The sequence below is a fragment of the Homo sapiens genome, chromosome 17, assembly GCF_000001405.40.
Source record: "Homo sapiens chromosome 17, GRCh38.p14 Primary Assembly".
Lineage (NCBI taxonomy): Eukaryota > Metazoa > Chordata > Mammalia > Primates > Hominidae > Homo > Homo sapiens.
Genome location: NC_000017.11, coordinates 32272115 through 32286960, shown reverse-complemented (window position 1 = coordinate 32286960; position 14846 = coordinate 32272115). Strand labels below are relative to the sequence as shown.

General features: G+C 53.9%; 1 protein-coding gene across 14 annotated transcripts in view, besides 5 other annotated features; it reads right to left on the bottom strand.

Moving 5' to 3' along the window:
- The window catches only part of RHBDL3 (rhomboid like 3), a 58830-nt gene that overhangs the window by 37701 nt on the left and 6283 nt on the right, over positions 1 to 14846 (bottom strand). For 5 of the 14 annotated variants that reach the window (XR_001752439.2, XM_017024273.2, NM_138328.3 and 2 more), the window contains one exon: positions 2144 to 2302. The exons of 5 other annotated variants lie outside the window; for them this stretch is intronic. Coding sequence is in view for 6 of the 9 variants with exons in the window: in XM_017024273.2 (XP_016879762.1) it covers positions 2144 to 2302 (159 nt within the window). In the remaining 3 variants the exon portion in view is untranslated. Of the gene's footprint in view, positions 1 to 2143; positions 2303 to 3063; positions 3582 to 14846 lie in introns of those variants that run through there. 4 more of the 14 variants (XM_006721734.4, XM_017024274.2, XM_017024278.2 and 1 more) reach the window with 4 other exon arrangements.
- Positions 5373 to 6144: an enhancer, noted in NCBI's record as "H3K27ac-H3K4me1 hESC enhancer chr17:30607836-30608607 (GRCh37/hg19 assembly coordinates)". NCBI's record gives its function as "activates a minimal SCP1, AML or CMV promoter by ChIP-STARR-seq in naive H9 embryonic stem cells {active_cell/tissue: H9 hESC(naive)}" and the evidence as "EXISTENCE:reporter gene assay evidence [ECO:0000049][PMID:30033119]".
- Positions 6145 to 6915: an enhancer, noted in NCBI's record as "H3K27ac-H3K4me1 hESC enhancer chr17:30607065-30607835 (GRCh37/hg19 assembly coordinates)". NCBI's record gives its function as "activates a minimal SCP1, AML or CMV promoter by ChIP-STARR-seq in naive H9 embryonic stem cells {active_cell/tissue: H9 hESC(naive)}" and the evidence as "EXISTENCE:reporter gene assay evidence [ECO:0000049][PMID:30033119]".
- Positions 6916 to 7688: an enhancer, noted in NCBI's record as "H3K4me1 hESC enhancer chr17:30606292-30607064 (GRCh37/hg19 assembly coordinates)". NCBI's record gives its function as "activates a minimal SCP1, AML or CMV promoter by ChIP-STARR-seq in naive H9 embryonic stem cells {active_cell/tissue: H9 hESC(naive)}" and the evidence as "EXISTENCE:reporter gene assay evidence [ECO:0000049][PMID:30033119]".
- Positions 10598 to 10647: an enhancer, noted in NCBI's record as "active region_12027". NCBI's record gives its function as "activates an Ori minimal core promoter by ATAC-STARR-seq in GM12878 lymphoblastoid cells {active_cell/tissue: GM12878}" and the evidence as "EXISTENCE:reporter gene assay evidence [ECO:0000049][PMID:35858748]".
- Positions 11631 to 11854: a silencer, noted in NCBI's record as "fragment chr17:30602126-30602349 (GRCh37/hg19 assembly coordinates)". NCBI's record gives its function as "represses an EF-1alpha promoter that drives an FKBP-Casp9 reporter gene in an ReSE screen in K562 erythroleukemia cells {active_cell/tissue: K562}" and the evidence as "EXISTENCE:reporter gene assay evidence [ECO:0000049][PMID:32094911]".

Genomic DNA, 14846 nt, shown 5'->3' with positions numbered 1-14846 from the left:
TGCCTGACTCCACAGTCCATGCTAGCCCATACAGAGCTGTTGTGCCAATCAGATAAAGGAGCCTCTTCTTCTGGATGGGTGCACCCATGCCAGGCCTTGGTGGGCAAAGTCCGGGCCAGATTTCAGTCTCCATCATCTCTCAGCTAGGCACCATTGTACAGTATACAACCTGCACACTCATACACGACTACCCGGGTTGCTCAGCTGTAATGCAGTGTGGCGGTCTGTACTACGAGAGAGGCCTGGGCAAGGCACTGTGGGAGCTCTGAAAAAGGCTGACTCACTCTGCCTGGCTTGAGCAGATAAAGGCTCACAAAGGATGCAGAGGAGTTTACCTGGTGGAAGAACATTAAGAGACATCAAAAATATTCAAATACTTTTTTTGATCCTTGCAACAACCCTAAAGAGAGGATCCTTTGGATCTATTCTACAAATGGGAAAAGGCAGGCTCAGAGGCTCTTTCCCAGTGAGTGGCAGAGGCAGAGCCAGACCAGGACCCGGGTTTGCTAGACTCCAGGTCCTCAGCTCTCTGCTCTACTCAGAGCTTCCCCTCTGGTGAGTCCCTTTGTCTGCTCTCCAGGGCAGCCCTGCTCATACAGATCCAGTGCAGAATTTGAACAGAGAAATCTCAGAAATCCCAGCAGTAACAAGTAACTTGCTGTCCTGAGCTCACACAGAGGCTCCATTGACCCCTGGCTGGAGAGAAGCCACTCCTGGGCCCCACGTGCCCTAAGACCTAGCAGGGCATCTTGCAGCAAACACACAGGTGCTGGGGCTGTGGCTGTGGATGAGCCTGGGCAGGCTCAAACCTTTGGCCTGGTCTTTGGTGGCACTGCTGGGTTCCAAGTCACAGGACTCACCCTCACTGCCTATCCTATGAATCCTCACTGTCCCCCTCCCCTGCTCAGCTCAGCTCTGTCCCTTGCTCTCCAGGAGGTCTGCTCCCCGGGTCCACTCTGAACAGCAGTCGATTCCTCCACTCCTAAAAACCCCACAGCAGCTCCTTGCAATCACGCCAACCCTTGGACCAAGGCTGGACCTCAGCCAAGAGGCTGTTGAAACATCTCCCCTGCCTGGGCATCCACATCAGAGCGCTCATGTGGCACAATGACAGGCTCCAGTGGTGGCGGCTCCCCCATCACTGGTGCCTTTGAATTTAGGAGTCTGGGGCGCTTCACACAAGTCATTTCACTCTCGCTCCCTCCATGGGTGACATGAAGAGAGGTGACCAGCTCCATCTCACCAATAGGAAAACCCAGCAAAAACTTTGGGTCTTATTTTCAACCTGCTTGTTCACCCCGCTTTTCTACTGATGTCACCTGCATCCCATGGTGGGTGAAATACTGCCTGCTTAACCCCACTGAACCCCAGTCCACAGCAGCCCCTGAAATAGCGCAGCACTAACCCTCAGTGAGGGGAAGTCTCTGCTCCGAGATAACAGACCGCTGGGCAGGATCCATGGGCCTATCTTCTCCAGCCTCTTTGGCAGCCCAGGGCATCGGCTGAGCAGATATGCTGAGCTCTGGCTCTACCACATGCTGCACTGACCCTCCCGGCCCCCACTCCCCAGCCCCTTCTCCTACCACCAATACCCTACCTACTCGCAGCCCTTCATTTTGGCGTAACTGACCCCACTCTCAGCTACAGGAGTGGGGCAATGATTGATTTAACGCAATCTACCCATCCTACTGACCCAATCTAGGCCAATGGGAGGGAGAAAATACCAGGCCTTGTGCAAGAGCTACACCAAGAAGGGTTTCTCTCTCCTCTCTCTCCCCTCCCCTCCTCTTCTCTCTCCCCTTCCCTCCATCCCTCCCTCCCTCTCTCTCTCCCTCCCTCCCTCCCTTCTGCAAGGTGCAGCCTGAGGGTATGAGGGCTGGAACAGCTGCAGCCACTTTGCTGCCACAACAGGAGGGTCTGAAATTGCCAGGTGCTGCCTTGAGGATGGGCTGACACTGCGGAGGGCAGAGCCTAGAGACAAAGAGAAGATGAGTCCTTGGTGGCACCCTTTCACCTCAGAAGCCTGGACTTTTTCAATGCTGCAGGCCAACAGATCCTTTGAATTGCCTAAATCCTTTAAATGTGTGGAAGCCATAACCCTCAAACAGGTCCCCCCGAGTACCAAGGGCCCCAGAGCACTCACTAGGCTGACAAAATCCTGGTAGCCGATCTGCCCATCCGCGTGGCTGTCGGCAAGAGCCAGGAGGACCTCCCTTTTGTGCGGGTCCAGCTTGGAGCTGTGGCTCTCCAGAAGACTCCGGAACTTGCCTGTGCTAATGTAGCCTGTGTTCCCAGGGTCAAACTGAGGGAAAAGCAGACAGCAGCAGGGTCAGCAGGGCACCACCTCCTCTTCACACTGATGTGGGTGCCCTGATCTCCACCACTATTCACTGGCTTTAGTCCCCAGCCCCTGGCAGAGGCTCAGTGTCTGGGAGATTTCCAAGGACCCCCCTGGGAAACATCTAAATAGGAATGTCCTGGAGGACCTGCAGACCTTCAGGATCACCCAATCCAACCATCTCACGTGGATAAGGAAACTGAGGCTCAGAGAGGTTAAACCGCCTCCTCTCACCATGGAGAGGGAAGTGCGAATGAAAAGGCAATGAGTGCAGGAAGATGAGAAACTTCTGGGGCCTGGGACGGGTGAGAGGACAGCAGGAGAAGGACATTTCAGCTGCGACTGGCAAAGGGAAAGGGGACTGGGCCAGAGGGACCCCAGGGGGGATGCCAGAGGGCCCTGGGGAGCAAGAAGCACTGCCTTGCAAGTCCTTCTGCCCCTGGCCGCCCTCCCATGGCCCCTCCCACACACCCAGGCGGGGAGGATTGGTGGGGCTCCCCAGAGACACTCTGCTCTGTGGTTTTTGTTTTGTTTGGGGGGTGTTTGTGCGCGCGCATGAGTAGGAGTGCGCGTCTGTGTGTTTTACACCGTGCTCTTTCATCGTTTGCAGCTTTGCACCACGTGGGTCCCTCTGCCTGGGATTCCCTTTCTTCCTCCGTCTCCCTGGAAGACTCCGACTCACCCTTCCTGACTACTCAGATATGCCCTTCTCTTGGCAGGCTCACCTCAGCCATGGCCTGTTCTCACGGAACCCTCTGTTCTGTCCAGACCTCTGGGCCTCCAGCCCACACTGATGTCTGTCTGCTTTTGCCTCCTCCTTGGACCGCGGCGCCTCGCGGGTCGGTATCACAACTTATCCCCGGTACTTAGCACAGAGCCTGGCATTATCAGCACTCAATCAAGATTTGTTGGATGAATAACTAGTGGGTGTTCAGATGAACAGACAGGCACTGATTTTCCATGAAAAGCCTCATCAGTTCAGTTAGAAAAGGCAGGATCGGGCCAGGCGCAGTGGCTCAAGCCTGTAATCCCAGCACTTTGGGAGGCCAAGGCGGGCGGATCACAAGGTCAGGAGATGGAGACCATCCTGGCTAACACGGTGAAACCCCGTCTCTACTAAAAATACAAAAAAGTAGCCGGGCGTGGTGGTGTGCGCCTGTAGTCCCAGCTACTCGGGAGGCTGAGGCAGGAGAGTATGGCGTGAACCTGGGAGGCGGAGCTTGCAGTGAGCTGAGATCACGCCACTGCACTCCAGCCTGGGCAACACAGCGAGACTCCATCTCAAAAAAAAAAAAAAAAAAAAAAGAAGAAAAGGCAGGATCTTAGTCACCTCTCCCAGAGAAGACCTTATCATTTCTATCCCTTTCCTCACGGAGCCCACCCAATGCCCACAGCAACACTTTTAACACCAAGCATCTCCTGGACGCCAGGAGCTTTCTTGTTCAGAAGGTGCTTCCCTACATAAGACTCCACTGCATCCTGGAGATGCAGCTGTGAGTTGTTTAAAAGGCAAACAGACATTGAGGATGTATGTGTGTGCATGACGAGGGAGTCCGGAATACCAAACCCACGTTTTCGCCTTTTCTAGATGGTCAATGAAGGCTATTTTAGGAAAGTGGATTCTGTGTGTAGCATTTCTGAGAAAATCAAAGAGCAACAGTCAGGAGTCTCAGTCATGGGCTATTTCAATTCTCCACAGAAGGCCGGGCGCGGTGGCTCATGCCTGTAATCCCAACACTTTGGGAGGCCGAGGCAGGTGGATCACGAGGTCAGGAGATCAAGATCATCCTGGCTAACACGGTGAAACCCCGTCTGTAATAAAAATACAAAAAATTAGCCGGGCGTGGTTGCAGGCGCCTGTAGTCCCAGCTACTTGGGAGGCTGAGGCAGGAGAATGGCCTGAACCTGGGAGGCGGAGCTTGCAGTGAGCCGACATCGTGCCACTGCACTCCAGCCTGGGCTACAGAGTGAGACTCCGTCTCAAAAAAGAAAAAAAAAATCTCCACAGAATTGAACAAGAAAGGACATCTCCAATGAGGTCTATTGTTTTTTGTTTTAGACAGGATCTCACTCTTGTCACCCAGGCTGGGGTGAAGTGGTGCCATCATAGCTCACTGAAGCCTCGACCTCCTGGGCTCGGCAATCCTCTCACCTCAGCCTCTCAAGTAGCTGGGACCACAGTTGTGTGCCACCACAACCAGCGAATTTTTAAATTTTTTGTAGTGATGGGCTCTCACTACGTTGCCCAGGCTGGTCTCGAACTCCTGGGCTTAAGTGATCCTCCTGCCTCAGCTTCCCAAAGTACTGGGATTACAGGCATGAGCTACCATGCCTGGCCCCGAGGCATATTTTTAAATCTGTATATCTCCCACCTTCAAGCCAAAATGCCAGGTTTCATGGATGACATCTGTTTGGTTCACAACACCAAGTATTTCAGGAAACTCACCTACTTGTTGCTCAGTAAAGATCTTGAAGAATAAAAACACCTAATATTTGCTGAGTGTTTTCATGGAGCCAAATACTGTTTAAGCACCTTATGCATATAATGTCTTTGACTCCTACACAACTTTATGTAGCAGATCCTATCCATGTCCCCATATTACAGACGAGGAAATAGAGGCACAGAAGAGTTAGCACGGGGAGGTGAAGTGATTTGCCCGGCAAGCGGCAGAGCCAGGATTCCACCTCCAGACAGCTGAGCACTCCTCTAAGCCATGGCCAGGTGCCACTGACCTCCAGCTCCAGGGACTGCTCTGATGCCCAGGAACAAAATTTAAGGACCAAATAGGTGAGTGTGGGCCCAGGAGAGGAAGGGGCTCCATGAGTCTCACAGCCCTACCATAGGCAGAGATTTTTAAATCAGGAAACAGCCCCGGACAGCAACAGCTCTGACCTCCTCCATTGCTCAGCTAAGGAAATGGACCCTGGAGAGGGAATGTGGCAACCACAGCCAGGGAGGGTCTGTTTCTTTGGTGCCTGGGACCCCTCCCATCTCTACAAGCCACCTGTGCCAACCCCTACTCCATCACAGGGTCTCACTAGCCTGGCCCTCCTGTTCTGGGTGGGTAGATAGGGGGTGGGGTGCGGGCTGAGAAGGAGCAGGTGGAGTCCTGGGGAGCCCCCCAGTGGGGGCTGCAGGAGGGCCATTGGTCTGCGGCACAGCTTGTGCAGTCTCTCCTGCCTCGGCCTAGAGAAGGGAGCCCAATGACTTTGCGTGCCCTGGGAGCAAGCACCAATCCCCTCCTAGGGGCTGCCTCCCAGGCTGGGGAGGGCCGTGGGGTGGGGGTGCAGTGGGGGTGCTGGGATCAGGCTGCAGACAAAGAGCCACCTGCTCTCCCCCTCAATCTCCCCCTCCAGTGCTCCCTGCTGTTGTCCTAGTGACATGGCTGCCCTGTGGCTCAAGCCTCCACCCCCACCAGGGCCTGCCTGCCCTGCCCCAAGCATAGTAACAGGCTCCAGACAGCAGAGAACAAGCTGGAATCAGGCCGAGCCTCGGTTCTCTGCCAAAACTCTACCTTTCATGGCAGGGCCAGACAATGGGGGGCGGGGTCACCGCTACCCTAATAATGAGGCCTTGGGGATGCCCGGAGGATGGAGGACGGCTGGGGCAGGGGGAGGGAGAGGCAGCAATGGGCCGGCTGCCTGGGCTCCATGAATGCACAGGACACCTTTCAACCCCCAACCCCACCCCCAGGAAGATGAAAGCAAGGGCAGGTGCTGACATTGGGTATGGGGCGTGGGGGAGAGAGAAAGGGAGGCAAAGGGAGAAAGAGACAGAGAGAGCCAGAGAGAGCATGAGTGCACAGAAAGCAGGAGAGAGGTGCATCCCATTGCCCCAGAAGGAAGCTGGGAGTTTCTAACAGAGGCTGCACCCCTCACTCAGGGGTAGCAAGGAACAAGGCAAACCTCATGCTTGTCTCCACCACTAACCAGGGTTTGTGTCATTTACAGCAAACTCCCGAGCCACAACTACCTCATCTACAAAGTGGGCTACCTTCCTCTCGCAGGGCAGCAGCTCACCAGGGCCTGGGCTCGGAGGCCAGACCAGCTTCCCTTGCTGCGAAGCTGGGAGCATCCTACTGTGATGGGGGTGTGGCTGACCCTCTCTGGGCACATATCCTACCCTTCCTCCTCCTTCACAGCCTGCTTAAGGAGGACTGGGATCATTAGGCAGATCCAAACTGTGGTTTGGAGCTTTCGGGAAAACAAGCCCCATCAATGCAATTTCCTTGTTAATACCGTGCCACTGGTCCTGAAGCTCCCCTCCCCCAGGCACTGTGCCCCAGATTCACCCACTTTGGTAGTGAGGTGCTCCTGATGGGGTCTGGGCTGGGTGGGATTGAGGCGGCCTGACCGGGGCTGCTCTGGGGCTGGTCGGGGCAGCCGTTAGAATGTGGGCTGTGAATGGGCCGTAGGGGCCCAGCAGGGAGCCAGGAGCCTGGGAGCGTCCTGGAAGCTGCCTCCTGAATAGGGCTCAGTGCCTTGGAGGGAGGGGCGGCCAAGTCCACATTCAGCCTGAGCGGAAGACACAGAGGAGCTGGCCCGCCCACCTGCCTCGGCCTTTAATCGCACCAGCACCCAGCGTCCGACCCTAATCCTCTAGGTCACAGCTGGCCTCAGCCTGAGGCCTCCCACACGGTCTGCCTTCTCCTATCCTCTATGCTGCACCCATTCCTGGGGCGCTCAGCCCATCTAGGTAGGGGAACTGACCTACCAGATTCTCTCTTTGTATTGCTGCCATCTGGGGCTCCTTCCCCAGTCTGGGGCAAGGGGAGGAAGAGAGTTCCAGAAAGAGGCTCCACTCGCAGCTGTTGTGCCATCTTGGGTAGTTCATTCAACCACCCTGCCTCTGTTTCTCCATCAATCAAGCAGAAACTCTTCTCAGGGAGCTATAAGGGCCACCCACCCCGTGCACATAAGCGTGCCATACGGAAACGGGGGGTAGAAAATGAGAAATCCACAACCCATGCAGCCCACAAGGGCAGCCAATCTTCTATTTGGAATCTTTGCACAGTCAAGGGGCTACAGGACATTCGGGATCACAGCAGGCAATTCCACATGGAGTGAGGAAGGGCCGGGGTCATTTGGGTCTGTGCTGTCAGAGGGGCCTGGCAACACTGGGGAGAGGGACAGCAGGTCAGGGAATCAGAAATCACGGAGCAGGAGGGAAACTCAGTGGTTTTCAAACTACGCTGCAGAGTTCTAGGGGCTATGGGGCCTCCAAGGCCCAGAGGTGCTGGGGAGGGCACTGAGGAGCAGCCCCCAGCCCTCCTCAGGCAGGGCAGCTCCATTCGGAGCTAGTTTATGTGCTGGCCTTCTGCATACTATCCTGGTGAACAGCAACACGATAAGGGCTGATATGTGTGGAAAGTTTGCTATGTATCAGGCACCCCTTGACTGAAACCTCAGGCCACCACACACCCTGGTTTTTCTGTGTTAGTCCTGGCATATACCTGTTGTCCAAGCATATTAATTATTATTGTTCTTGTTTAAGAAACAACAGGATCTTGCTCTGTTGCCCAGGCTGGGGTGTAGTGATGTGATTGTAGAATTCATAACCTTGAATTCTTGGGATCAAGCAATCTTCCTGTGTTTGCTTCCTGAGTAGCTGGGACCACAGGTATGTGCTACCATACCTGGCTAATTTTTAAATTTTTTTGTAGAGACAGGGTCTTGCTATGTTGCCCAGGCTGGTCTTGAACTCCTGGCCTCAAGCAATCCTCCCACTTTGGCCTCGTAAAGTGCTGGGATTATAGGCGTGAGCCACCCTGCCCAGCCTTGAGTGTGATTTACAGTAGCTCCTTTACTCTCAAAGTGTCCTAACTTGGTCACTTTGAGAGTGGTCCCCCCTATTTAAATCTCACAGCAACCCTAAGAGGTACACACTATTGTGAGCTCCATTTTACAGGAGAGGAAACCAAGGCACCAAGAGCTGGGTTGCCCAAGTGTGAATGGCTGGTAATAGGTGCAGATGGATTCATATCCAGGCAGAGGGGCGAGAGCCTGCACTCTCTCCCATCACTAGAGTGCTGTGGCTAAAGAGAGTTTGAGAGACCCTCATCCAATCCTCTTATGTGTCCACCTAACACATATTCACTAAGGATCAACTGTGGCCCAGGCATCCCACTCGTTTTATGGGGAAACAGGTGCATAGGGCAAAAGGAACAAAATAAACTAGTCCAGGTCAGAGAGTGAGTTCGCGGTCAAGACAGAAATAGTTCAGGATTCCTCCACTGTGCTGGCTGGTCCCATCTTGCCCTCCCTTGTTTTTCTCTGTCTTGTTCGGTTGAATGAAACATAGCCCCTGAGTTTATTTTTATTTTTTTGAGATGGAGTCTCACTCTATCGCCAGGCTGGAATGCAGTGGTGCGATCTTGGCTCACTGCAAGCTCCACCTCCCAGGTTCAAGCAATTTTCCTGCCTCAGCCTCCCGAGTAGCTGGGACTACAGCACCCACCACCACACCCGGCTAATTTTTGGTATTTTTAGTAGAGACGAGGTTTCACCATGTTGGCCAGGCTAGTCTCAAACTCCTGACCTCAAGTGATCTGCCTGCCTCAGCCTCCCAAAGTGCTGGGATTACAGGTGTGAGCCACCACACCCAGCTGATTTTTAAGGGTTTCCCAATGTGTGTTCTGTGGAATACCAGGTACCTGATGGTACCTGAAATAAGGGTTCTGTGGTCCTACAAGTGGAAAAACCTCTTGGAGGGTCATAACGCACCATATCAAGGACTCTGCAAGGTTTTAGGCTGGAGAAACCTGTCTGATTTTGTTCAGCCCAGCATTCTTCAAACTTATTTGACCTTTGGTCGTAGTATTTTTTCACAGTAACACTTGATGGAACACTCTTTGGGAACAAGGTATGAGTCCACAGCAGTCACGTTTCCCTTTGGTGAACCTAGCCCCTTTGCCGCTGGTTCAGAACCAGAGCCTTTCACTTCCGCCCCATGAGTAGCATAGGTCTCCGAGCAGCTGACACTTTGCTGGAGTCTTCCAGCAATGCTAGAAGTCTGTGGGCTCCAGGCCCAGCCTGAGGGTTGACTGGGGACACCAGGCCTCAGAAGAGGCTGAGGAGTCCGTGACTGGCCTAATGGGGCCACTGAGCCGAGCTCTCAGGGAGCAAACCCCGCTGGAGCTGGGATTTGCCTGCTCAGCACCCAGGACAGCAGCACTGCTTCTCCCCTCCCAGCTGCAGGCCCATGAGCCAGGCCAAGGCTTCAGAATTTGCCCAGCAACAGGGAAGCATGAGAGAGAGAAGGACATACCTCTGTCTTCTTGTGTCTATGATGTATGTGTGATTTTCACCAGCTGCATTTTCAGGGCAAACACACGTCTGGTCTCTGCCTCCAAGGCTTGAATTCTCTCTCCCAGGAGGACCCTCTCCCTGTCCATGCTCTAGACAGGCCCTGGACCTCAGTGAGGGATGTGAGTACTTTCAAGGACCTCAAAGGCAGTACCCAGAGCCAAGGAACCAGCTGCCACTGGGGTAAAGACCTCTTGAGTCAGGAAGGTGGAGACCTGGGATCTAGAGCAGGTTCCCACCCGGATCCCCATTGTCTTCTCCCATGTACACACACCAAGGCAGAATGAGCCCTGGGAAATGAGCACAGGCACGTGTGCTAGGGCTGGAGTCCAGTGCTAGGGCTGCAGTACTGTGCTAGGGCTGGAGTAAGGTGCTAGGGCCGGAGTAAGGTGCTAGGGCTGGAGTAAGGTGCTAGGGCCGGAGTAAGGTGCTAGGGCCGCAGTACTGTGCTAGGGCCGGAGTAAGGTGCTAGGGCCGGAGTAAGGTGCTAGGGCCGGAGTACTGTGCTAGGGCCGGAGTAAGGTGCTAGGGCCGGAGTAAGGTGCTAGGGCCGGAGTACTGTGCTAGGGCTGGAGTAAGGTGCTAGGGCCGGAGTAAGGTGCTAGGGCCGGAGTACTGTGCTAGGGCTGGAGTACGGTGCTAGCGCTGGAGTCCGGTGCTAGGGCTGGAGTACGGTGCTAGGGCTGAAGTATGGTGCAGGCAGCTGTCTGGTGAAGGTTACCATGGCTCAACTGCTGGCCCCCTGCCTCATTACTCGTCTTCTGAGCAGAGCAGAATTAACGAGGCTGCCCAGGGGTTTGTGGTTCAGCAGAGCTCTCCCCACCCAACAGCCAGAGCCCAAAAGGGAACTCTGGCCCTTTCATGGATATTTACAGCCCCGTAAATTAGGTCCAGGCTGCAGCTGCCAAGGTCAGCGGGGAGGTTAGGGGAGTAGGAGCTTTCTCTCCCAGTTCTGCTTTCTTGCAAATGAGGATGCTAATTCACCCATAGAGAAAACCACCTCACACCCTTCCCTTGATCTTTTCCCCTGACTCTTTAAAATACTGACTTTCACAATTTTTTTTGTTTTTTTGTTCTCATGCCAACCCTAGAGTAAGTCTGGTTTGTCCCATAGAGAAAACCACCTCATACCCTTCCCCTGACCTTTTCCCCTGACTCTTTAAAATACTGACTTTCACATTTGTTTTGTTTTTTTATTCTCATGCCAACCCTAGAGTAAGTCTGGTTCGTCCCACTTAACAGATACAAAAATTGAGGTACTCAGAGACATGCCCCCTGCCTGAGGCACTCTGGAAGGGGTGGACCCAGGCAGTCTGGCCTGCTTCAAGCTGGGGCTGGGAGTGGGTTTTCAGAGACCTCAAGCCTCTGTGGGAAGGAGAGAGACCAGATGGAGGCATGAGGGGCCCTTGTGACCCCTACTCCCCTGGGATCTGGCCAGGCCAGGCCCCTGACAGCTGGAGAAGCCTCCACGATTCTGGGATTCCCAGTTTTATTATTTCTGCTCCCTCAGCTGCCACCATAGAGGGGTGCGGGAGGCAGCTCAGCCCTCTCATGGTGCTTCTCCCAAAAGCCCCAAGCAGCCTCCTGAGCATCCCCCTTGCCCAAAGTCGAACAGCCGAATCCTAGGATGGGGCAGCCAGGCTGATTAGGGAGAGACAGGCATCCTGGCCTGAACTCAGGCTGAGCCCTTGACAATCGGCATGCTTCCAGAAAACCATCCAGCTCTCCCAACATCTGGGAAGTGAGGGAAAGAAACGACCTCACACCTTCCCTGGAACGCATGCAGCTGGGGATGGGTGGGGTGGGCAGCACGGGTTGGGGGACTGCCTCCTCCACTGGGCCTATTCCTTCCCGCCCCTGGGGGACTCCTGCAGCCCCTTCTCCTCCTTCCGACCTCCTCACAAGGCCTCCCAGGCACACAGACGGCTCCCTTCCCATTCCAGAATGGCCCCTGCCTTTGGCAGGCCACTGAGGGGGCTGCCAGGGGCTGTGACTCAGAGGCCCTTGGGTACCCAGGAGGAGCAGATGTAACATCCATGCTGACTCATCCGGCCCAGCCTGACGCGCCGCCTGGGGACTGAAGCCGAGTCATGGCCATGAAGCCCAGGAGTCTCAAGGGAACTGCAGGCAGGGAGTGGGGAGTGAATGTCAGCAGGGAGGGATCTGACATCGCCCCATCTCTCCCCTTCAGCCTAAACTGCTGGCCGCCGCTGCTTCTCCTGGCAGCCACCAAAGGGTCTCTCTGGTCCCCCAGAGGAGAGAGAGCCAACAGATCCAGGGAGAAGGAGGGGAGCAAGATGCAGAGCGGGTGCATGGCAGGCAGGATAAAGGGCTGGAAGGATAAAGGGTGCTCAGCTGCTCCTGCATCTCCTGGCCCATTTCAGGAGCTACCCAGAAGCCTTGTGGGGACACACACACATGCATGCGTGCACACACACACACATGCACACTCTTGCACACACAAACACACATGCATGCATACACACACATGCACACTCATGCACAAACACACGTGCACACATATATACACATGCGACTGCCGCAAAAGGTCCTCACTGCTGTCTTTGGGCAAGCTCCGCCCCCTCAAACCTCACTTTCCCTTTTTATTTTAAATAGAGAAGGGGTTTTGTTATGTTGACCAGGCTGGTCTTGAACTCCTGGCCTCAAGCAAACCATCCTCCCCTCTCAACCTCCCAAAGTGGTGGGATTACAGGTGTGAGCTACTGCACCTAGCCAGTTTCCTCTTTTGAGGTGCAGCACCACACACCTCACAGGGCTGCTGAGAGATCAAAATGAGACAACAAATTTATAAGCATGCAGTTAGACATTCAATGTTTGCTCCCTCGAAGAATATTTACTGACTCAAATATACTGATTTCAACCTGTACCTTGCTTCACAAAAGCCTGGGGAATGGTGATGGGGGCTACCTCTAGTTGTTCACAGCTTAAGCCACACACGGACTGGTTTCTCTAGCACAAGACAATGGCCCCAGTGTCACGATAGACCACTAAGTAAAGCTCCAGCAGGAATTGCCAGATCAGAACACCAGACAGAGGAGTGCTAGCCCTGTCTACCTGATGGCCAGACGCCTCGTCTCACCCTTCACCCTCTGCCATGCACAACACTCCCCAGGCAGCCTTTGTCCAAAACCTTCTCTCCTTTCTCTCTGGAAAGTTCAGGGGAAATGTGATTTTTCAGCTTCTCCCCTAAAGCAGGCAGCCTGATATGGTGGAAGGAACCCCAACTGGGGCTCTGAACACTTCGATTCAAGACCGAGGTCTGGCCAGGCACGGTGGCTCACGCCTGCAATCCCAGCACTTTGGGAGGCTGAGGCAGGCAGATCGCTTGAGGCCAGGAGTTCAAGACCACCCCGGCCAACATGGTGAAACCCTGTCTCTACTAAAAATACAAAAATTAGCCAGGTGTGATTGCACACGCCTGTAATCCCAGCTACTTCGGAGCCTGAAGCAGGAGAATGACTTGAACCTGGAAGACAGAGGTTGCAGTGAGCTGAGATTGTACCACTGCATTCCAGCCTGGACAACGGGGTGAGACTCTGTCTCAAAACAAACAAAAAAACAAAAAAACCTACTCTATTATATGTCTTTTTATTTTTTACTTGTTTAAATTGCTGTAACACACAACAGTATTTATGAGGTGCTCACTACATACTGTGCCAAGCACTATACACACAGCATCCCGTCTTCACAACAACGTAGGGGGGAAGGTACTAGGCTGGCACTTTACGGATGAGAAAACTGAGGCGTGAAGAGGTCACCTGGCTTGCCCATTGCCACACACCTAGTAGGAGCAGAACTGAGACTTGACCTAGATATGTGTCCTCTCCACCTGCCTTGGTTACTCAAGGCACCAACTAAGTGAATGGCCTGGTGGCAGGAACACAGTTCAGATAGAAAGCAGGGTTGGGATCTAGTCTCCGCTCTGGCTGTATTGCACCAAGTGACCTCAGTAGGCCACTGACTTCTGTTTCCTCATTTGCAAAATGAGCGGACTGGGCTGGGCGCGGTGGCTCGCGCCTGTAATCCCAGTACTTTGGGAGGCCAAGGCGGGTGAATCACCTGAGGTCAGGAGTTCGAGACCAGCCTGGCCAAAGTGGTGAAACCCCATCTCTACTAAAAATACCAAAAAATAGCCAGGCCTGGTGACAGGCACCTGTAATCCCAGCTACTCGGGAGGTTGAGGTAGGAGAATCGCCTGAACCCGGGAGGTGGAGGTTGCGGTAAGCTGAGATCGCGCTACTGCACTCTAACCTGGGCAACAAGAGCGAAACTATGTCTCAAAACAAACAAACAAAAACAAAAACAAAATGAGCAGACTGGACAAGATGCCTCCATTAACCTTCTAATAACCTATATTCCTTGAGGTGGCAGCAGCCATACGGTGGCAGAGGGGCTGCCGTGAGTGTGGTAGCTGCACAGTCAGGGCCTGCTCTTGGAGAGGATATTTTAACCCAAGACAATGCATGCAGAGCTGTAGTTCGACCTGTCGTTCGCTCAAACGTGTGTATCTATTATGTGTCAGGCAGGCAGCCAGGCGAAGTTCAACCTCGGATCCCTCGGCCCTGTTGCCCAAAGCAATCAAATGCATTTCTGTGAGTGGTCAGGAATAAAAGGGTTAATGTCAGTATAGCTGATGGGGTCACTGGGGCAGGAGTAAGGTAGGGAAGCAGGCTCTGTGGTGAAGAGGAGTCCACAGCCTCAAGGGTCCTAGAGACCACTTGATAAGGAGTTGGGGGTGCAGAGCCCAAGGGCTCCAGTTAAGCCCGTGGCTTTGTTCCTCTCTGGGAACCCTGCTCTGCTGGTTAATTGTGAGTTCTGGGGGTGGCCAACACCCTGTCTCTGGGGCAGGAGTTTTCTCTGCAGCTCCTTGCTAATCCCTTCAGGGGTCTTATCTGAACCTCTTTTCAGCTCCCAGAACACCTTTAAGCCAGCTTGCAGGGGGGACTACAAATGAAGTCAGGCCAAGGGAAGAGCCCCAGGCTGGAGGGCAGGGAACTGGGAAGGGGAGACACTGGAAGTCAGAAAGCAAAAAAATCCTCTGGGCTCAGAAGTGTTGAGGAGCTGCCTTCCCCGTAGGGGCCTGGATCTCAGAAGTGGTCCTTGTGCTTCTCCAAGCAAATTCTGATTCTCAATGAAGATACTTCTGTTGAATATCCACTGCAAATCAGATATTGCAAAGGGA